This window comes from Homo sapiens, chromosome 10, assembly GCF_000001405.40.
Source record: "Homo sapiens chromosome 10, GRCh38.p14 Primary Assembly".
NCBI classification, from domain to species: domain Eukaryota; kingdom Metazoa; phylum Chordata; class Mammalia; order Primates; family Hominidae; genus Homo; species Homo sapiens.
Genome location: NC_000010.11, coordinates 95,704,757 through 95,727,282, shown reverse-complemented (window position 1 = coordinate 95,727,282; position 22,526 = coordinate 95,704,757). Strand labels below are relative to the sequence as shown.

Here is a 22,526-nt window from a genome sequence, read left to right as displayed (position 1 = left end):
TCTAGTCTTGTTAATAATACAAGAGTTGGTCTTGATTAAATGAGTCTCTCCTTTCCTTCTCCTCAAATAAATGGGAAAATTCAGTGTACCAAAACTATGACTCAAATCGAGAGGTCACACTGTGAATCTCCAAATGTTAGAGCTCCATGTTTTGTCCAAACAAATCTCATAACCTGACTAAACTGCTTGGACTACACGGGACAAATTGGCATTTCATCAACTTCTGAACCTGAGCTGGGGCATAATTTACTGTGGAAACACTGACGAAGGAGCTTCATGTTCTTGGGAGTTCTCTGGATTTTAAATTCTAAACTGAAGATGGCAGTGAGCCAGTGACCCTAACCTGAGTTTGAAGGTGGTGCCACTTCTCTGGGAGCACAAAGTTCAAAAGGATGAATTTGGGAAAAAGCATCACTTCTGGTGGGCACTTCTGTCACTCAGGACCCAGTGTGCAGAGATGATACTGGGAACTCAAACACCTAAAAATTCAAGAAACTGAGTGAACCCTCTCAGAGATAAACCCCCCAAAATGCACCAAAACACATCAATCATCAAACTTTTGAAAATTAAAGACAAATAAAATATCTTGAAAGTAAAGAGAGAGAAACAACACTTTACTTTTAGAAGGAAACTAATTTGACTTACAGTAGCTTTCTCATCAGAAACCACAGAGGCCAGAGAAAATGGCACAGTATTTTTCAACTACTAAAATAAAAGAATTGTCAACACAGAATCCTATATCTAGCACAAATATTCTTGAGGAATGAAAGGAAAATTAAGACAGTCTCAGATGAAGGAAAATGAACAGAATCTATCACCAGCATATATACCCTAAAAGAATAGTTACAGAAGTTTTCTATGCAGAAAAGAAATGTTAAATAAGAATTTTTGGAAGACAAGAAGAAAGGAAGAACACAACAAAAATATGAATAATTATAAAAAGCTTTCCTTCTCTTTAGTTTTTAAAATTATATTTGATGAAAGAAGCAAAAGTTATAACACTTTCACTATGGTTCTAGTATATGTAGATGATATATTTATGAACATTATAAATAGAAGAGGGTAAAGTGATCTAAAAGGAGGTAAGGTTTCTATTATCAAGCACAGCCATTTCAGTGCACCAGAAATTGAGCAAAGGCAGACAACAAGTTGAAAAGCATTTATTCATGAAAAGTCTCCAAAACTTTGGGTAACAACAATGGGAAACTATGACCTGCTTGCCAGGGATGACTCCCCTTTAGTCTCTACCCATAACATGGACACAGCTTGGCAAGATAGTAGTTCAGCCATGAAAACCAGCAGCTTTCCTCCAGAGAGGGCAGGCTCAACCCAAGGTGGGAAGAGAAAACCACTTTTGCCAGCTAGATGTGAACAGGGAAAACCCCACGGTTTTGTAGTTCCAGTTGGGATGTGAAGTGTACCAACCAAAAATTTAATGGAATTATCTGAGAAGATATAAGCATTCCACATATCTCTCTCTGACCTGTGTATAGTGGAAATCCAAGACAGGCTAGCAAAAAGTGAAAGCCAGAGATTTGAGAACTGGCTATAACTTTGAAAGCATTCCCTAACTCACAAACAGATTGAGCAGGAGTGGGTGGAATCCCTGTGGACTCAGTTTTTTTAACACAACCTCTCCTAAAGTGTAGGCTGTCCACTAAACTAAAGTAGACATGAGGGCAACTTGCAGAAAGCCAGGCTAAAAATTAAGAATAAAAAGCTGAGCAGAGGTATCAGTAGCTACACACCACAGAGAAGAGAATCTGCAGTTTAATCCCAGACAAATTGCTAGAAAACAACAATCCTCAGAAAAATAAAACAGAATCCCGAGTTGCTATATTAGTTCATATGTCCAGTATTTAATTAAAAATCACTAGATATGCAAAGAACTATAAGAGTATAACCCATACTCACCGAGGGGGAATAAAGAAGTCAGTATAAACTGACTTTGAATGGGGCCAGATATATAGGATTTAGCAGAGATTTCAAGAAGTTATTATGATGTTAAAAAATCAAAGAAAAATATGATAATGATTCAGCAATAGGAAATATCAATAAGAAACAAAAGCCATAGCAAAGAATCAAATAAAAATTCTAGAGAAGAAAAGCAAAATAAGTGATATGAAAAATTCACTAGATGGGCCCAAAAGTATAATAGATTGAAAGTATCAGAATAAGGAATCAGTTAATTTAACAATATATCAATAGAAAGGATCTGATTCAAGTAACAGAGGGAAATAGATTGATGAAAAATAAAAAGAGCCTCAGAGATCTATGGGACCATTTCAAGTGTCCCAACACACATGTAAGAGGTGTCCCAGACAAAGAGGAGAGAGAAAAAATGAGCAGAAAATGTACTGGAAGAAATAAAGGCCCAAAACTTCTCAAATTTTACTTTTAAAAATTAACCTGGGCAACCCCCTTTGGGTCCCCTCCCATTTTATGGGAGCTCTGTTTTCACTCTATTAAATCTTGCAACTGCACACTCTTCTGGTCCATGTTTGTTATGGCTTGAGCTGAGCTTTCGCTTGCCATCCACCACTGCTGTTTGCCACCGTCGCAGACCCATCACTGACTTCCACCCCTCTGGATCCAGCAGGGTGTCTGCTGCACTCCTGATCCAGCGAGGTGCCCATTGCCACTCCCAATCAGGCTAAAGGCTCGCCATTGTTCCTGCATGGCTAAGTGCCCAGGTTCGTCCTAGTTGAGCTGAACACTAGTCGCTGGGTTCCATGGTTCTCTTCCATGACCCACGGCTTCTAATAGAGCTATAACACTCACCACATGGTCCCAGATTCCATTCCTTGGAATCCGTGAGGCCAAGAACCCCAGGTCAGAGAACAAGAGGCTTGCCGCCATCTTGGAAATGGCCCACGATCTTGGGAGCTCTAAGAACAAGGACCACCCCGCCCCGGTAACATTTTGGTGACCACGAAGGGACATCCAAAGTGGTAATATTGGACCACTTTCACTTGCTATTCTGTCCTATCCTTCCTTAGAATTGGAGGAAAATACCAGGCACCTGTTGGCCAGTTAAAAACGATTAGTGTGGCCGCTGGACTTAAGACTCAGGTGTGAGGCTATCTGGGAAAGGGCTTTTTTTTTTTTTTTTTTTTTTTTTGAGACAGAGTCTTGCTCTGTCACCCAGGCTGGAGTGCAGTGGTGCAATCTTGGCTCACTGCAAGCTCCACCTCCTGGGTTCACACCATTCTCCTGCCTCAGCTTCCCCAGCAGCTGGGACTACAGGTGTCCACCACAACACCCAGCTAATTTTTTTGTATTTTTAATAGAGACAGGGTTTCACCGTGTTAGCCAAGATGGTCTCGACCTCCTGACTTCGTGATCTGCCCACCTCAGCCTCCCAAAGTGCTGGGATTACAGGCGTGAGCCACCGTGCCTGTGCTGGGAAAGGGCTTTCTAACAACCCCCAATCCTTGTGGGTTGGGAATGTTGGTCTGCCTAGAATCAGCTTCCGCTTTCAATTTTCCTGGGGAAGCCGAGGGCCAACTAGAGGCAGAAAGCTGTTGTCCCGAACTCCCAGCATTAGCTGGTTCAGATCATGGCACAGCCAGAAGTCTCTACTCAACAGTTGCCCATGTGTGTGCCCCTACCTTTCCTTCTGACCCATACCTCCTGGGTCCCAACCACGACTTTCTTGAAAGTGTAGCCCCAAAATTCTCCTTACCTCTGAATCTACTTCCTCCCATCCCTGCCTCCTAGGTACTAATGGTTCAGAGTTTCATTTCCTCTAGCAAGTTGTATCTCCAAAGGGATCTAAGGGAGCTCTACACTGCATCCTTAGGCCCCTAGGCTATGAACCCAGAGAGTCTTGTCCCTGGTATCCCTCCCAATTTAGGTATACAGCTCTAGACATGGGCAGTTATGTGAGACCCATTCCCCACCACCCTTGCCAGGGCCCCAAGTTTGTAAAGGGCTAGGAGAAAAGAGAGAGAAAGAGAGAGACAGAGGGGAGAGAAAGAAAGAGAGACAAAGAGGGAGTCAAAGAGAGAAAGAAAGAGAAAGATAGAAGTAGTAAAGAAAAAACAATGTGCCCTATTCCTTTAAAAGCCAGGGTAAATTTAAAACCTATAATTGATCATGGAAGGTCTTCTCCATGACCCTATAACACTCCAATACTACCTTGTTGTCAGTGTAAACAAGGGCGTAACAGCCTGAAAACACTGAGACCACTGACAACCCGCAGCCTTCCTATCAAAAATCCTTAACCCAGTAACCCGCAGATGGCCCAAATGCATTCAATCTGTAGCAGCAACTGCTTTGCTAACAGAAGAAAGTAGAAAAATAACTTTTAGAGGAAACCTCATTGTGAGCACACCTCATCAGTTCAGAATTATCCTAAGTCAAAAAAGCAAAATGGTAGCTTACTAACTCAAATCTTACTCGTATGGGGCTATTCTGTTAGAAAAGGGTGATTTAACCTTAACCACTGAAAATTCCCTTAACCCAGCAGATTTCCTAACAGGGGATTTAAATCTTAATTACCATACAAAGGTCCGACCAGACCTAGGAGGAACTCCCTTCAGGACAGGACGATAGAGGTTTCCTCCCAGGTGATTGAGAAAAAAACCACAATGGTATATCTCCCAGTGCTAACCCTCCCCCCTCCCTCCAACCCACAACAGTCCCCAGAGTGTGATGTTCCCCTTCCTGTGTCCATGTGTTCTCTTTGTTCAACTCCCACCTATGAGTGAGAATATGCAGTGTTTGGTTTTTTGTTCTTGCGATAGTTTACTGAGAATGATGATTTCCAATTTCATCCATGTCCCTACAAAGGACATGAACTCATCATTTTTTATGGCTGCATAGTATTCCATGGTGTATATGTGCCACATTTTCTTAATCCAGTCTATCATTGTTGGACATTTGGGTGGGTGCAGCACACCAGCATGGCACATGTATACATATGTAACTAACCTGCACATTGTGCACATGTACCCTAAAACTTAAAGTATAATAATAATAAATAAAAAATTAAAAAATTAAAAAAAAACAAAAAAACAATGAACTTGGGATAATAAAAAAAAAACCACAATGGGTATTCAGTAATTGATAGGGAGACTCTTGTGGAAGCAGAGTTAGGAGAATTGCCTAATAATTGGTTTGCTGAAATGTTCGAGCTGTTTTCACTCAGCCAAGTCTTAAAGCACTTATAGAATCAAAAAAATCTATCTCAATCCTGACTCAAAATGTTACCTACACCCTCTCTGACACAAATTTGCATAAGAACTGTTTTATTTATTGGAATGTATCTTGATGGGGCAACTGGGTTGTTATGAAATACTCAGGAACCCAGCCCAGCTCTACAACTCACCCCTGAGCACAAAGGCAATGTTGGGCATGCTGGTAAAGGACCACTAGAATACAGCAGCCTGGACCCTTTTCTTTGTGGTCAAGAAAGGCGGGAAAAGGGGTGCAGGACTGCTACTTGGTAAGCGTAACTAACCCGATAAGCAGAGGTCCATGGGTAGTTACGCACCCTGGAAAGCAATAAGCATTAGGACCATAGAAGACGCTCTAGCACTAATGCTCATCAGAGAATGACTAGGGGTGATGGCATCCCGGTTTTTTTTTTTTCAGATAGGAAACATTACCCCTAAGGCAAAAACGCCCCTAAGATGTATTCTGGAGAATTCGGCCCAGTCAGAGTGTATGTACCTTTTTCCCTGTCAGACTTAAAGCAAATTAAAATAGACCTAGGTAAATTCTCAAATAACCCTGATGGCTATATTGATGTTTTACAAGGGTTAGGACAATCCTTTAATCTGACATGGAGAAATATAATGTTACTGCTAAATCAGACACTAACCCCAAATGAGAGAAGTGCCACCATAACTGCAGCCTGAGAGTTTGGCGATCTCTGGTATCTCAGTCAGGTCAATGATAGGATGACAACAGAGGAAAGAGAATGATTCCCCACAGGCCAGCAGGCAGTTCCCAGTGTAAACCCTCATTGGGATGCAGAATCAGAACATGGAGATTGGTGCCACAGACATTTGCTAACTTATGTGCTAGTAGGACTAGGGAAACCTAGGAGGAAGCCTATAAATTATTCAATGATGTCCACTATAACACAGGGAAAGGAAGAAAATCCTACTGCCTTTCTGGAGAGACTAAGGGAGGCACTGAGGAAGCATACCTCTCTGTCACCTGACTCTATTGAAGGCCAACTAGTCTTAAAGGATAAGTTTATCAGTCAGTCAGCTGCAGACATAAAAAAAAACACTTCAAAAGTCCGCCTTAGGCATGGAGCAAAACTTAAAAAACCCTATTGAACTTGGCAACCTCGGTTTTTTATAATAGAGATCAGGAGGAGCAGGTGGAACTGGACTAACGAGATAAGAAAAAGGCCACCGCTTTAGTCATGGCCCTCAGGCAAGCGGACTTTGGAGGCTCTGGAACACAGAAAGGCTGAGCAAATCGAATGCCTAATAGGGCTTGCTTCCAGTGTGGTCTACAAGGACACTTTAAAGCAGATTGTCCAAATAGAAATAAGCTGCCCCCTCGTCCATGCCCCTTATGTCAAGGGAATCACTGGAAGGCCCACTGCCCCAGGGGACGAAGGTCCTCTGAGTCAGAAGCCACTAACCAGATGATCCAGCAGCAGGAATGAGGGTGCCTGTGGCAAGCACCAGCCCATGCCATCACCCTCACAGAGCCCCGGGTATGTTTGACCATTGAGGGCCAGGAGGTTAACTGTCTCCTGGACACTGGCACGGCCTTCTCAGTCTTACTCTCTTGTCCCGGAAAACTGTCCTCCAGATCTGTCACTATCCGAGGGGTCCTAGGACAGCCAGTCACTAGATATTTCTCCCAACCACTAAGTTGTGACTGGGGAACATTACTCTTTCACATGCTTTTCTAATTATGCCTGAAAGCCCCACTCCCCTGTTAGGGAGAGACATTCTAGCAAAAGCAGCGGCCATTATACACCTGAACACAGGAAAAGAACACCCATTTGTTGCCCTCTGCTTGAGGAAGGAATTAATCCTGAAGTCTGGGCAACAGACGGACAATATGGACGAGCAAAGAATGCCTGTTCTGTTCAAGTTAAACTAAAGGATTCTGCCTCCTTTCCCTACCAAAGGCAGTACCCCCTTACACCCGAGGCCCAACAAGGACTCCAAAAGATTGTTAAGAAACTAAAAGCCCAAGGCCTAGTAAAACCATGCAATAGCCCCTGCAATACTCCAATTTTAGGAGTACAGAAACCCAATGGACAGTGGAGGTTAGGGCAAGATCTCAGGATTATCAGTGAGGCCATTGTCCCTCCATACCCAGCTGTACCTAACCCTTATACTCTGCTTTCCCAAATACCAGAGGAAGCAGAGTGGTTTACAGTCCTGGACCTTAAGGATGCCTTTTTCTGCATCCCTGTACATCCTGACTCTCAATTCTTGTTTGCCTTTGAAGATCCTTCGAACCCAATGTCTCAACTCACCTGGACTGTTTTACCCCAAGGGTTCAGGGATAGCCCCCATCTATTTGGCCAAGCATTAGCCCAAGACTTGAGTCAATTCTCATACCTGGACACTCTTGTCCTTTGGTACGTGGATGATTTACTTTTAGCCGCCCGTTCAGAAACCTTGTGCCATCAAGCCACCCAAACGCTCTTAAATTTCCTCGCCACCTGTGGCTACAAGGTTTCCAAACCAAAGGCTCAGCTCTGCTCACAGCAGGTTAAATACGTAGGGCTAAAATTATCCAAAGGCACCAGGGCCTTCAGTAAGGAACGTATCCAGCCTATACTGGCTTATCCTCATCCCAAAACCCTAAAGCAACTACGAGGGTTCCTTGGCATAACACGCTTCTGCCAAATATGGATTCCCAGGTACGGCAAAATAGCCAGGCTATTATATACACTAATTAAGGAAACTCAGAAAGCCAATACCCATTTAGTAAGAAGGACACCTGAAGCAGAAGCGGCTTTCCAGGCCCTAAAGAAGGCCCTAACCGAAGCCCCAGTATTAAGCTTGCCAACGGAGCGAGACTTTTCTTTATATGTCACAGAAAAAAGAGGAATAGCTCTAGGAATCCTTACACAGGTCCGAGAGACCAGCTTGCAACCCATGGCTTACCTAAGTAAGGAAATTGATGTAGTGGCAAAAGGTTGGCCTCATTGTTTACGGGTAGTGGTGGCAGTAGCAGTCTTAGTATCTGAAGCAGTTAAAATAATACAGGGAAGAGATCTTACCGTGTGGACATCTCATGATGTGAACAGCATACTCACTGCTAAAGGAGACTTGTGGCTGTCAGGCAACCATTTGCTTAAATAACAGGCTCTATTACTTAAAGGGCCAGTGCTGCAACTGCACACTTGTGCAACTCTTAACTGAGCCACATTTCTTCCAAATAATAAAGAAAAGATAGAACATAACTGTCAACAGGTGATTGCTCAAACCTATGCCACTCGAGGGGACCTTCTAGAGGTTCCCTTAACTGATCCCAACCTCAACTTGTATACTAATGGAAGTTCCTTTGTAGAAAAAGGACTTCGAAAAGTGGGGTATGCAGTGGTCAGTAATAATGGAATACTTGAAAGTAATCCCCTCGCTCCAGGAACTAGTGCTCAGCTGGCAGAACTAATAGCCCTCACTCGGGCACTAGAATTAGAAGAAGGAAAAAGGGTAAATATATATACAGACTCTAAGTATGCTCACCTAGTTCTCCATGCCCACACAGCAATATGGAGAGAAAGGAAATTCCTAACTTCCGAGGGAACACCTATCAAACATCAGGAAGCCATTAGGAGATTATTCTTGGCTGTACAGAGAAACCTAAAGAGGTGGCAGTCTTACACTGCTGGGGTCACCAGAAAGGAAAGGAAAGGGAAATAGAAGGGAACCACCAAGAGGATATTGAAGCCAGAAGAGCTGCAAGGCAGGACCCCCTCCATTAGAAATGCTTATAGAAGGACCCCTAGTATGGGGTAATCCCCTCCAGGAAACCAAGCCCCAGTACTCAGCAGAAGACATAGAATGGGGAACCTCACAAGGACATAGTTTCCTCCCCTCAGGATGGCTAGCCACCGAAGAAGGAAAAATACTTTTGCCTGCAGCTAACCAGTGGAAATTACTTAAAACCCTTCACCCAAAACTTTCACTCTCACTGCACCTCCTCCATGCCACTGTACTACCAGTAGCTCCCCTTACCAAGAGCTTCCATGGAGAATGCAGCTTCCTGGAAATATTGATGCCCCATCATATAGGAGTTTTTCTAAAGGAAACCCCACTTTCACCGCCCACACCCATATATGCCCCTGCACTTCAGGCCATACATTTCAATCCCTGTATGTTTAAGCTCCTTGTTAAGTTTGCCTCTTCCAGAATCGAAGCTGTAAAATTACAAATCGTTCTTCAAATGGAGCCCCAGATGCTGTCCATGACTGAGATCTACTGCAGACCCCTGGACCGGCCTGCTAGCCCATGCTCTGATGTTAATGGCATTGAAGGCACCCCTCCTGAGGAAATCTCAACTGCACGACCCCTATCATGCCCCAATTCAGCAGGAAGCAGTTAAGAGCGGTTGTCGGCCAACCTCCCCAACAGCACTTGGGTTTTCCCGTTGAGAGGGGGTACTGAGAGACAGGACTAGCTGGATTTCCTAGGCCGACTAAGAATTCCTAAACCTAGCTGGGAAAGGTGACCACACCCACCTTTAAACACGGGGCTTGCAACTCAGCTCACACCTGACCAATCAGGTAGTAAAGAGGGCTCGCTAGAATACAAATTAGGCTAAAGCAGGAGGTAAAGAAAGAGTCAAATCATATATCACCTGAGAGCACAGGTGGAGGGACAATGATCAGGACATAAACCCAGGCATTTGAGCAGGGAGCGGCAACCCCCTTTGGGTCCCCTCCCATTTTATGGGAGCTCTGTTTTCACTCTATTAAATCTTGCAACTGCAAAAAAAAAAAAAAAAAAAAAACCCTGCAGATCCAAGAACCTCAATGAACAATGTGTGTAAGATAAACACAAAGAGAACCACATCTAGGTAGCTAGGCGAATTGCTGAAAACAAATTTAAAAGGTGAAGGATTTGGGATTGTAGCTTACTTAAAGCTTACAGTTATCCTGACACTGTCCCATGGAAACAGGCAGAAGACACAAGATTCCTGCATCATAAACAAAAGACTTTATTACTCACAGAACAGCAAGAAGAATGCACATCAACATATTTGCCTAAGTTCCTTATGCCTAAATCCCACACGGCCCATGCCTACCCACACAGTGGGTTGCAACCCAGGCAAAGGGCCCAACACTTTTTGAGCAAGCAGCAAATCCAGTTTCCCTGCCTCTCCTTAGGTAGTGAGCAGGGACACAGTACCACTCTATGGTCACCTTGACCAGCTAGTTGACTATATGACTAGCTACAGAAATGGCTCAGTGTCAGAAGACAAATAAAGCTTGCCATCTGTCACGCTCAGCAAGGATATGCATGTTTCAGTTCATTTTACATTGCTATAATGGAATACCTGAGACTGGGTAATTGATTTTAAAAAGAAGTTTATTTAGCTCATGGTTCTGGAGACTGGGAAGTTTAAGACTGGGAAGCCACATCCGACAAGGGCCTCACGTTGCATCATAACATAGCAGATGGCATCACATGGCAGGAGCACACATGACAGTGGCAAGCAAGCATGTGGAAAAGAGACAAAACATGAGAGGAAACTTCACTTTATAACCACCTGCTCTCTCAGTAATTAATCCAGTACTGCAAGAGACAGAACTCACTCACTCCCACAATATGGCATTAATCCTTTCATAAGAGCAGATCTTTCATGACTCAAATGCCTTTTAAAGTCTTACCACCTCTCAACCCGTTACACTGGGGACCAAGCCTCAACATGAGTTTTGGTGGCGACAAACCATACTCAAACCACAGCAATGCAGGAACAAATAGGAACCAAAGGACTGCCGTTCGCAACCAAAATCAAAAGGAGAGAACTGAGCTATAGTGGAGCAAAGTTGCCATATCTTATCACAGGTAAACCACCATTAACCTGAAGTGGATTTTAAGTTAAAGTTATGAAGTTCAAGAAAAATAAAAATCCCTAGAGTAACCACTGAAAAATGAACTTTAAAAATATACTTAAAAATGAGCTGGGCACAGCGGTTCATACCTGCAATACCAACACTTTGGGAGGCCAAGGCAGGAGGATTGCTAGAGACCAAGACTTTAAGACCAGCATGGGCCACATAGTGGGACCCCTGACTGCACAAATTTTTTTTAAATTAGCTGGATGTGGTGTCACACATCTGTAGTCCCGGCTACTCAGGAGGCTGAGGTGGAAGGATTGCTTGAGCCTGGGAGGTCAAGGCTGCAGTGATCCATGATCACACCACTGCACTTCAGCCTGAGTGACAGAATGAAACCCTGTCACAAACAAGCAAACAAAAATACAAATATAAATAAGTAGTTGTCAGGGGATGAGGGAGAGGGAAATGGTAGTGGCTGCTTATAGATACAGGATTTCTTTTGGGAGTAATTAAAATGTTCTGAAATTAGATAATGACTCTATAAATATACTAAAAACCACTGAATTGTACACTTTAAAGGGGTAAATTTAAAGGTATGTGAATTATATCTCACTAAATGAATTAAAATATTGATTTAAAACAAAAGAAGGCAGTAAAAGGGGAACAGAGGAAAAAGAAGAAATAAGACATATAGAAAGGAAATAGCAAAATAGACAAATCCAAACATACCAATAACTACACTGAATGTGAATGAACTAAACAGTTTAATCAAAAGACAAAAATTGTCAGGATGTATTAAAAAAAAAAACAAGATCTAACTACATGTTGCCTAAAAGAAACACAGTTTAGTTTAAAATATACAGTAGGTTGAATAGCATGCACAAATAGCTGCTATGAAAGAGCTGGAATGGCTATATGAATATAAGATGAAATAGACTTTATGACAAGGCACATTAAGACAAGGAAGGACATCTAATCATAATAAAAAGGTTAATACATCTGAAAATATAACAATTATACACATATAACACCTAACCACAGAGCCCCAAAATACATGAAGCAAATACTGACAGAATTGAAAGGAGAAAGAGACAAGAGGGTATGACTCAGTTATCTGAAATGACTCCTGATTAAGTAAAGTTCACAAAAAATAAATATTGTTATCATGAAGTTCCAGGAGAAATCAAAAAGGCATAACAAGAATCATTGCATAAACCTTTTATTTAAACAAGTTTATAAACTATAATGTTTCCAGATTCCAGGGATAACCGAGGGGAATAACTCTCTCCAGTGAAAACTTAACGATTCTTTTCATTCCCGTTGTCCTTTTGCAAAACAATTCCAAGGCTTACTGAAACAGTAAGATAGTATCCAGAATGTACATTCTCACAAGATGTAAGAAAGCAGACCTGAAAATACTATTTTGATAATATGTGGGCTAATCTTATTCTTAAACTGTTGTTGCTGCTGCTGTTGTAGTTTTACAAACACTGCATATTCTAAAAAAAAAAAATTTTTGAAATTCTGTTTGAAAAACAAATAAATGATAAATATATTCCTTCCATGAAGTAAAGTAATGCACAAATGAATAAATAAATGATAGCATTTGTGCAAAGATTAAGAGGTTGTAAACTTATTTAGTTTCATCTCTGTTTGGTATAATACATAATATCATAAAGTGTTATAAGCTATTCTATTTTTCAACATAATCTTAAACTCAGGAAAAAATTAGCTTCTTTACTGCTAGACTGCAAGTTGGCAACAAACACATGGTTTGGTAGACAAAATAATACATTTATTAAGGCACTATGCCTCCAAAAGAGAACAGTGGTTAGTTACAATCCAAAACTGAGACCTGAAAAGAAGTAATGTATTACTAATTAAATAAGAAAAATAACTGGTAAATTAAGTTTTCAAACTTTAACGTTTATTTATTTATTTATTTATGTAAATTTTATTTTTATTCCTTTTTCGAGACAGGGTCTCATTCTATTGCCCAAGCTGCAGTAGTAGTGGTGCAATCATATAGTTCACTGCAGCCTCGTCCTCCCAGGCTCAAGGGATTCTCCCACCTCAGCCTCCCAAGTAGCCAGGACCACAGGCCCATGGCACCACATCCAGCTAATTTTTGTATTTTTTGTAGAGATGGGGTTTCACTATGTTGCCCAGGCTGGTCTTGAACTCCTGAGCTCAAGCAATCTGCCCACCTCTGCCTCCCAAAGTGCTGGGATTACAGGAGTGAGCCATCATGCCCAGGCCTCAAACTTTAACTTAAGAAAAATGTAGATGTCATTTCTGTGATAATGGTGACATTATTCTAGACTAAATAAATAAAATAGAGACTTACTACACTTTGAGCTGTACAAAAATTTGGACTTATGCCAAAATAGCTGTAACTATTTAAATTGATGAATGGATGGATGGCTATATGGATGGATATAAAAATAGTTGATAGATTTTTTTTCCTTTCTGCTGCTGCTTCATGGTAGAGCTAACCCACCCCTTGTCTCTCACTCCAGCTGCAGTGGATATCCTGTCTACCTTTTTTGTGGACATTTGTCCATCAATAACAAATGGGTACCCCAAAAGTCAAGAGTCACACAAATATTAAACCAAGTTTTATAAATGTTTGTGCTGTTGAGTTAAAGAGCTTACAAGTACTACAGGGACTGATTCTCTGACAAGGAATCAAACCCAGGCCACAGGTGTGAAAGCACAGAATCTTAGCCACTGCACCACAAGGTGGAATGCCTTATTTGTAAATCCCACAGGGAATTCAAAGCAGGCAGTTTGAGTGTACAAAGGATTTTAATTTTGTTTTGGGTTAGATTTTTGCATTTTAATTTTGTCAAGAGAATTTCTAAGCCAAGACACTATTGTGTCTTTCTTTATTTTGATTGTCCCATAAATACAAGTAAGACAATTGTTTAGAATGAGAGATCTCCAAAATCTTCTTTTTAAGAAAAAAAAATTAAAGTTCTTTCTAATTTAAAGGATCCATCTTTTGGCCACTGATGATTAGAATTTCCAATGGTTTACAAATTCCAGTAGTGACTCAACAATAAGCCTCTTCATGAAAAGTCCAGGAGATAATTTTCCAGGTTTAGAATAAGTTTTTACTATATAAACAAGAGGTGTTCCTTGAGAGCATATGGAGGAGACAGTCTCCATGATCCCCGAAAATTCACTGAGAAGTAGACTTAAGATAACAAAGACTCTTGCCGCCACAGCCTATTTTTTTTTTTTTTTTTTTAAGACAGAATCTCGCTCTGTCGCCCAGTCTGGAGTGCAGCGGCGCAATCTCTGCTCGCTGCAAGCTCCGCCTCCCGGGTTCACGCCATTCTCCTGCCTCAGCCTCCCGAGTAGTTGGGACTACAGGCGTCCGCCACCACACCCGGCTAATTTTTTGTATTTTTAGTAGAGATGGGGTTTCATCGTGTTAGCCAGGATGGTCTCGATCTCCTGACCTCATGATCTGCCCACCTTGGCCTCCCAAAGTGCTGGGATTACAGGCGGGAGCCACAGTGCCCAGCCCACCACAGACTATTAAGGCTGGTGTTTGTGCATATGGTGCCACTAGTAACCAACAAATTTGCCAGGGACCACCAGTCACAGACCCGTTAATCCACTGGCACCAGGTAGGCCCTCCTGGGATTAGAATTTTCCCAGCCTAACCAGGCAACAGGAGCCCCTTACAGATGGAACTTAAGACAAACTCCCCTGAGAGCTTGACATAGTTGGAACAAAAAGTATACCACTTAAAATCTTATGTGACCAGCCATTTTTAGACTGGTCACCTAATGTGACCTGAAAATCATGCTCCCTAAAATCGCAAGGACCAAGAGAAAATGCTCTCAAAAGTCAAGGTCTTATACGGACATGAAATAAGACAATAGGAGAACTTCATCTGGTTTTTATTTTGGGGACTACAGCAAAGTTTATAGACACAGGTCTAGTCAGAACCGCAAAACTGATCAGTCTGCAGTGCCAGCTCAAATAGAGAGTTTATGGGGGTTTAGGCCCATGTCCTACCCTATGGCATCCTTCTTTATGACACAACAACACGGAAAGACAAAGACTATTTCTGGAAGGAAAGGGACCGAACAATGTGAATATTCATACCAAAAAAGGACACCAGAGTCGCTACACCCAAAACTAGTCACACAAATCCTTTTTTCTCATTAATCAAGGTTTTGGAGATGAAAATGAGACAAACAGTGATTTTTACCATCGGCTCTACCAGATTCCACAGAGGGAGAGAGGCCGGGAGCCTGACTGGTAAGAATTTCTTACCCTTCTGCTGGCTTGTCAGGTCCTTGGTTCCCTTCATTGCAGCTTCCAGAAGAACAGAGCAGCTTTGGTATCCTGTTCACAGCACCAAAACTGGAGGGGCCAAGGAAAACTTCCCCTTTGCCCTCTGAAGTTTCACTGACAATCGCTGACAAAAAAGGCAGGTTAATAGGAGAAAAGGCATACAAATTTATTTGATCATAATTTTACACGTACACAGGAGACTGCAGAATGAAGACCTGAAGGGGAGGCTGGGCACAGTGTCACATGCCTGTGACCTCAGCACTTTGGGAGGCTGAGGAGGGAGTATGCCTTGGGGCCAAGAGTTTAAGGTCAGCCTTAGGAACAAAGCAAGATTCCATCTGTACAAAAAATTTTAAAATTAGCCAGGTATGCTGGGCCCAGGAGTTTGAGGCTGCATGAGCTGTGATTGTGCCACCGAGCTCCAGCTCGAGTGACAGTGTGAGACCCTGTCCCTAAAAAAAGTGAAAATAAATAAAATAAATAAAAGATATAGGGGAATTGTCCACTTTTATGCTTAGGTTCAACCAAGTATGAACAGCCATGTAGAAATATAACAGGATAAAAAAAGAGTGTGATCTAATGCTATAGACTGAGTGGGAGAAACTCAGCAATGCTGTCTATCTAGATTCTTCTTGACCTCTGTGCCTTCCTTCCTTCTGGATGTGGGACAGGACCCGCTCTGCAATGGGATTCAACAGTCTAAATGTGGGGTAGAAGCCTCTCCAGAATGGGTTTCAACAATCTGGAACAGTCAGACGAGGCAGGTCAGATCATTTCTTTATGGCCAGTTTTTATACAGAAAGGCTGGGAGAAAGAGAAAGTTAAAGTGATATTTTTAGGTTTTGTTGCTGGCTTCTATGACCCACCTGGGGGAAGAGGAATTCTAGTTTCCATTTCTCGGGGGAGAATGAGAGGCCAGAGACAGAAGGGCAAGAGAAAGTCCGAGAGGGCACCAGCACAGTAAAGATCCAGGGCAGTTCTGCTTCAGAGGCCTTCATTTGTGGCTACCATTTTCTGGGATCCTGGAATAGCCACAGCTATCTGCGAAAGAGGCTGGGCAATGTCATCTTTTGGCTATATTGTGCTCAGTAAAAAGTTGGGGCTCTGTTTATTTGAGAGAAGAGAGAACAAATGTATAGTCAGCAATAAACAGTTTCTGCCATAGAGTCAAAATTACACAGATTCAAAACTGGACAAAATGTGGGACTATAGACAGTCTCCAAGGGATGAAATGAGGAAGAAGAGCAAAGAAAAAAAGAAAAGGAGTAGAAACCCCTCTTCCCTTGTTATTAATACTACTTCCCTTGTTATTAATACTAAATGGCTAAAGAAAAATTTTTAAAAAGGTTTCAAAGTGAAAACATACTTCTTTCCTCTACAATGTATTCATTGTTTATTAATCTCTTAAAAAGCAAGGAGATGAATTCTGCCAGAGCTACTAAACATTTGTTTTCTACTAAACATGTAGACACCGTTTATTCAACTTACTTAGATAAATGCTTGTAAACAATAATTTAGATAAATTACATAGTTATTTTAATCATGAGTATCATTAAAAAAAATTTTTTTTAAAACAGTCTGGCTCTGTTGCCCAAGCTGGAATGCAGTGGTGTAATCTCTGCTCACTGCAACCTCCACCTCCTCTGTTCAAGTGATTCTCCTGCATCAGCCTCCTGAGTAGCTGGGATTACAGGCCAGCACCACCACACCCGGCTAATTTTTGTATTTTTAGTAGAGACAGGGTTTCACCATATTGGCCAAGCTAGTCTGGAACTCCTGACCTCAAGTGATCTGTCCGCCTCCGTCTCCCAAAGTGCTGGGATTACAGGCATGAGCCACCGTGCCTGGCCTATCATGGTTATTATAAAAATTAATGATGGTTTAAAATTACGTCTTGGGGGCTGTGCACAGTGGCTTACGCTTGTAATCCCAGCACTTTGGGAGGCCGAGGGGGGTGGATCACCTAAGGTCAGGAGTTCGAGACCAGCCTGGTCAACATGGTGAAACCCTCTCTACTAAAAATACAAAAACTAGCTGGGCGTGGTGGCACATGCCTGTAATCCCAGCTACTGGTGGGGGGGGCCGGGGCTAAGGCAGGAGAATTGCTTGAACCCAGGAGGTGGTGGTTGCAGTGATCTGAGATGGCACCACTGCACTTCAGCCTGGACGACAGAGGGAGACTCCGTCTCAAAAACAAACAAACAAACAAACAAACAACAACAAAAAACACTGCATCTTGGGGAGCAGGAGTGGGAAAAGAAAGGTGGGTTTGGTTATGAAAAGACAAGAGGCCCAGGCCCGGTGGCTCAGGCCTGTAATCCCAGCACTTGGGAGGCCAAGGCCGGCGGATTGCCTGAGGTCATGAGTTTGAGACCAGCCTGACCAACATGGTGAAACTTCGTCTCTACTAAAAATACAAAAATTAGCCGGGCGTGGTGGCAGGCACCTGTAATCCCAGGTACTCGGGAGGCTGAGGCAGAAGAATCGCTTGAACCCGGGAGGTGGAGGTTGCAGTGAGCCGAGACCAGGCCATTGCACTCTAGACTGGGCAACAAAAGCGAAACTTCGTCTCAAAAAAACAAAGAAAAAACAAACAAACAGAAAAAAAAAATAAGGAAAAGAGGAGAGATTTTCAGGGAGACAGAACTGCTCTGTATCTTTACTGTGGTGGTGGAAACATGAAACTACACATGCATTAAAATTTCATGAACTAAATATACACACACACAAATAAAACTGGGGAAATCTTGAAGATTGGTGGGTTGTATCAATGCCATTATTCCACTTGTGATATTGTATGATAGTTTTTGAAGTGTTACCTTTGAGGGTACACAGGATTGCTCTGAGTACTCTCAATTTCCTATAACTTCATGCATCTACCTGAAGGTTGTAGGTTGCATAACCTACAACTTCATCTATCATGAAATAGAAAATTTAATTTTAAAAAGTCTCAGCTGATGACAATGATTCTACAGGTACTCAGTTAAGTTTTTAAAAATGAAGAAATGCTCAATTTGTAATTATTGTATTGAGAGAGCTCTCACCGCTGTTCTTTTGCTACCAGAGCAGAATTTTTTTCACGAAATTATTATTAACTGTTTTTCAAAATCTAAGTACCACACAACATACATACTACCACACAAACATTGTTTAACTTTTTATTAGACACTGGGTTAAGAGTTTAAATGTGCCTTTTTTAGTGTAAATGATAGTATGCTCTGTGTACTGTTCTGTAACTTGGTTTTTTCATGTATTTGTCTTGGAGATATTTCCATTTCACTAAATAAAGAACTACCTCATTCTTGCTATTGCAGAGTATTCCATAATGAATGCATCATAGTTTATTTATCCACTCTGCTACTGATAGACATTTACATTGTTTCCAATATATATGCTTCTATTTGCCTCTTCTACACTTGTGTGGATTTCTCCGGAATAGCTATCAAGAAGTTAAATCTCTGGGCCAGGCGCAGCAGCTCATGCCTGTAATCCCAGCACTTTGGGAGGCTGAGGCAGGCGGATCACAAGGTCAGGAGATTGAGACCATCCAGGCCAACATAGTGAAACCCTGTCTCTACTAAAAATACAAAAATTAGCTGGGCGTGATGGCACATGCCTGTAATCCCAGCTACTCGGGAGGCTGAGGCAGAAGAATCACTTGAACCAGGGAGTCGGAGGTTGTAGTGAGCCGAGGTCACGGCACTGCACTCCAGCCTAGGGACAGAGTGAGACTCTGTCTCAAAAAAAAAAAAAATAAAATAAAAATAAATAAAAATTAAAAAAAAGAAGTTAAATCCCTGAATAAAGGGGCATATGCATATAAAAACTTAATAGATACTGACCTATGGCCCTCCAAAAAAGGCTATAACAGTTTACATTCCTAATGCAGTGTACCCATTTTTTTATATCATCATTTGATGTCATCAAACTTTTTCATTGTTGACAATCTAATTTGGAAAAATCTAGTATCTTTTTTTAAGTAAACTTTTTTGTTGAAGTATAAACATGAATACAGAACAACGCATAAATCAAATGTATATATAGCTCCACTAATTTTTACAAAGTGATGGCTAGGAGAGGTGGCTCACACCTGTAATCCCAGCACTTTGGGATGCCAAGGTGGGCAGATCACTTGAGGTCAGGAGTTCAAGACTAGCCTGGCTAGCATGGTGAAACTCCATTTCTATTAAAAATACAATAATTAGCTGGGCATAGTGGCACATGCCTATAATCCCAGCTACTCAGGAGGCTGAAGCACGAGAATCGCTTGAAGGCAGGAAGTGGAGGTTGCAGTGAGCCAAGATTGCACCACTGCACTCCAGCCTGAGACACAGAGCAAGACTCTGTCTCAAAAAACAAAACAAAACAAACAAACAACAAAAAAAGTGAGCCTGCCCATGTAACCCTAGCCCATTTGAAGACATGATTACCACCAGCTCAGAAATCTCCATTGTATTCCTACCCAGTCACTACTCCTCTCAAACATAACTGATGGCAGCGGATGCTACCATCACACTAGCTGCAGCAGGGAGGCCCCGCTGGGCCTGGGCACTCCATGGAGCCAGTGGGAGGCCTGCCCTTTCTGAATTGGGGTGGGAGCTACCCAGGTACCACTGCAGCCCCCCCAAACTGTGGCTGCAGACCCAGGCCTCATGCTCTATGGAGCAGGTAGAAGCTCCACCCTCCTGGGCAGGGCTGCAGCTGCCCAAACCATGGCTGTGCATCTGAGCCTCCCTGTGCTCTTGGAGGAGGCCAGGAGCAGGCAGGATCTGCCCTCCCGGGTGCAGCTGCAGCCCCCACGACCAACAGCTGCAGACCAGGTCCCCGCTGCATGGAGCAGGCAGGAGTTGGGAACAAGCGGGATCCCTGAGTTGGCAGGGCGGGAGCTCCCAGGTATAGCTGTGGCCACCCTCCCAGGCACAGGACCCGGCCATCTCTGCAGCCTGCACCCTCGGGTGCCCAGGAAGGCACCCCCCTCAGTCCCTGCAGGCTTAGGAGCGTCTGCTCCCACTGCCTGACCTCTCTTCTCTCCCGGCGCCTGCTCGGATCTCTCCAAGTGGGGTTGGGCTGAACACCCGGGCCATGAATGGCGGCGGAAGGCAGACAGGTTGCTGGGCAGAAGGGGGTGGGGTCCCCAGTAAGGCACCACCTTCAGGCCATGGAGGGCCTGAAAGCTGAGGGCCAGGCCACCAGTCCCACACACCAGAGTGGGGACTCCCTGCTGCCTATGACCACCCATGGACCAATCTGCATGTACTTACTACCCTATGAGCCACAGGACTAGAGAGGATGGCCAGAGCAGGACAGAGGATGCAGAGGACAGAGATGAGGGGACAACAAGCTGCAAAGAAGAGCTACCATCTGCTGACAGTTTGAGAGGCCTGCAGAGACCTCCAAACAACCTGTCTGCAGAGAAGAGCCACCCTCTCCAGGGCCTCCTCTCTGCTGAGAGCAGCAGATGATGGGACGACCAGCGGGCAGAGAGGAGCTACCCTCCCCAGGGCCTCCTCTATGCTGAGAGCTGAACACTTGACTGGAGGATCTGCAGAGAGGAGCCACCCACTGAGGGTCTCCTCTGAGCTGTTCTAACACTTAATAAAGTTTATCTTTGCCTTGTTCATCCTTCACTTGTCTGTGTACCTCATTCTTCCTGGACGCAGGACAAGAACTTGAACAAAGGCGCTACTGGCCACAGAGGTTTCTAGGAAGAAAATTGACAACCCAAAGATCCCATAACATAACCACTGTCCAACATTCTAATAATATAAGGCAGTTTTGCCTATTTTTTGAATTTTATATAAATGAATTAATATAATATGTTCTTTTGTGTATCTTGCTTTAGATCAACATTATATTTGTTTTTGTTTTTGTTTTGAGACAAGGTCTCACTCACTCACCCAGGCAGGAATGCAGTGGCATGATCACTGCTCACTGCAGCCTTGACCTCCCAGGCTCAAGTGAACTTCCCACCTCAGTTTCCCAAGTGGCTGGACCTATAGGTGCATGCCATCACACCCAACTAAATTTTTAAATTTTTCATAGAGACGAGGTCTCACTACATCGCCCAGGCTGGTCTCAAACTCCTGAGCTAAAGCAAATTCAACCACCTTGGACTCCCAAAGTGCCATGAGCCACCATGCCTGGCCAAATCAACACGATTATCATTTAGATTGTCTAAGTTGGCCTGGCGCAGTGGCTTATGCCTGTAATCCCAGCACTTTGGGAGGCCAAGGTGGGCAGATCACCTGAGGTCAGAAATTCAAGACCAGCCTGGCCAAAATGGCGAAACCCCATCTCTACTAAAAATACAAAAATTAGCCAGGTGTGGTGGCAGGCGCCTGTAATCCCAGGTACTCAGGAGGCTGAGGCAGGAGAATCGCTTGAACCCGGGAGGTGGAGGTTGCAGTGAGCCGAGTTCACGCCATTGCACTCCAGCCTGGGTGACAGACTTACACTCTGTCTCAAAAAACAACAACAACAAAAAAAATTGTTGTGTGGCAGTACTTTGTTCATTTTCATTGCAATATTATTATTCCATTGTATGAGTATACTACAATTTATATACATTTTGCTTTTGATGGATAATAAGGTTGATTGTAGTTTGGTGCTATTTTAAATCATGCTGCTATAAATGTTGTCATACAAGTCTTTTGTTAAATATATGTATTTACCATACACACACACACACACACACATTTTCTACTGGGTATACACCTAAAAGTGTATATTTTGCTGGGTCATAGGGTATGTATATGTTTAGCTTTATTATATGAAGCCCAACAGTAAATGGTAGCCCCAATTTATACCCCTATCAGTAGCAAATGAAATATCCAGTAACTCCATATCCTCCACCTTTAAAAAGTTTAACCACTTTAAAAGATATGGAATTCTATCTTATTATTGTCTTCATTTGAACTTCTTTGATAATGATGTTGAGTTTCTCTTTTATGTTTATTACTCATTTATATATCCTCCTTTATGAAAAGTCTGGTCAAAATTTTGGTCAATTTTTTGGGGGATTGTACATGGATTCTTTACGTATTCTGGGTACACATCCTTCTTTTTATATGTGTGTATGTGTATATTTACATATATATACATATATATATATAATATTTTACCATTGAGTAGCTTGCCTTTTTACTCTCTTAATACTGTCTTTTTATTAAGAGAAATTCTCAATGTTAACAAGACACAATTAAACAATCTTTTTCTT

General features: G+C 42.7%; 1 protein-coding gene across 6 annotated transcripts in view; it reads right to left on the bottom strand.

Moving 5' to 3' along the window:
* Positions 1-22,526, bottom strand: part of ENTPD1 (ectonucleoside triphosphate diphosphohydrolase 1) — a 183,082-nt gene that overhangs the window by 149,984 nt on the left and 10,572 nt on the right. For 3 of the 6 annotated variants that reach the window (NM_001440933.1, XM_011540371.3, XM_047426026.1), the window contains 2 exons: positions 16,177-16,414; positions 15,290-15,434 (listed from right to left, as the gene is read on the bottom strand). In NM_001440933.1, coding sequence (NP_001427862.1) covers positions 15,290-15,326 — 37 coding nt within the window. In that variant the 5' untranslated portion in view covers positions 15,327-15,434; positions 16,177-16,414. Of the gene's footprint in view, positions 1-15,289; positions 15,520-16,176; positions 16,415-22,526 lie in introns of those variants that run through there. The other 3 variants (XM_047426024.1, NM_001440934.1, NM_001098175.2) reach the window with 2 other exon arrangements.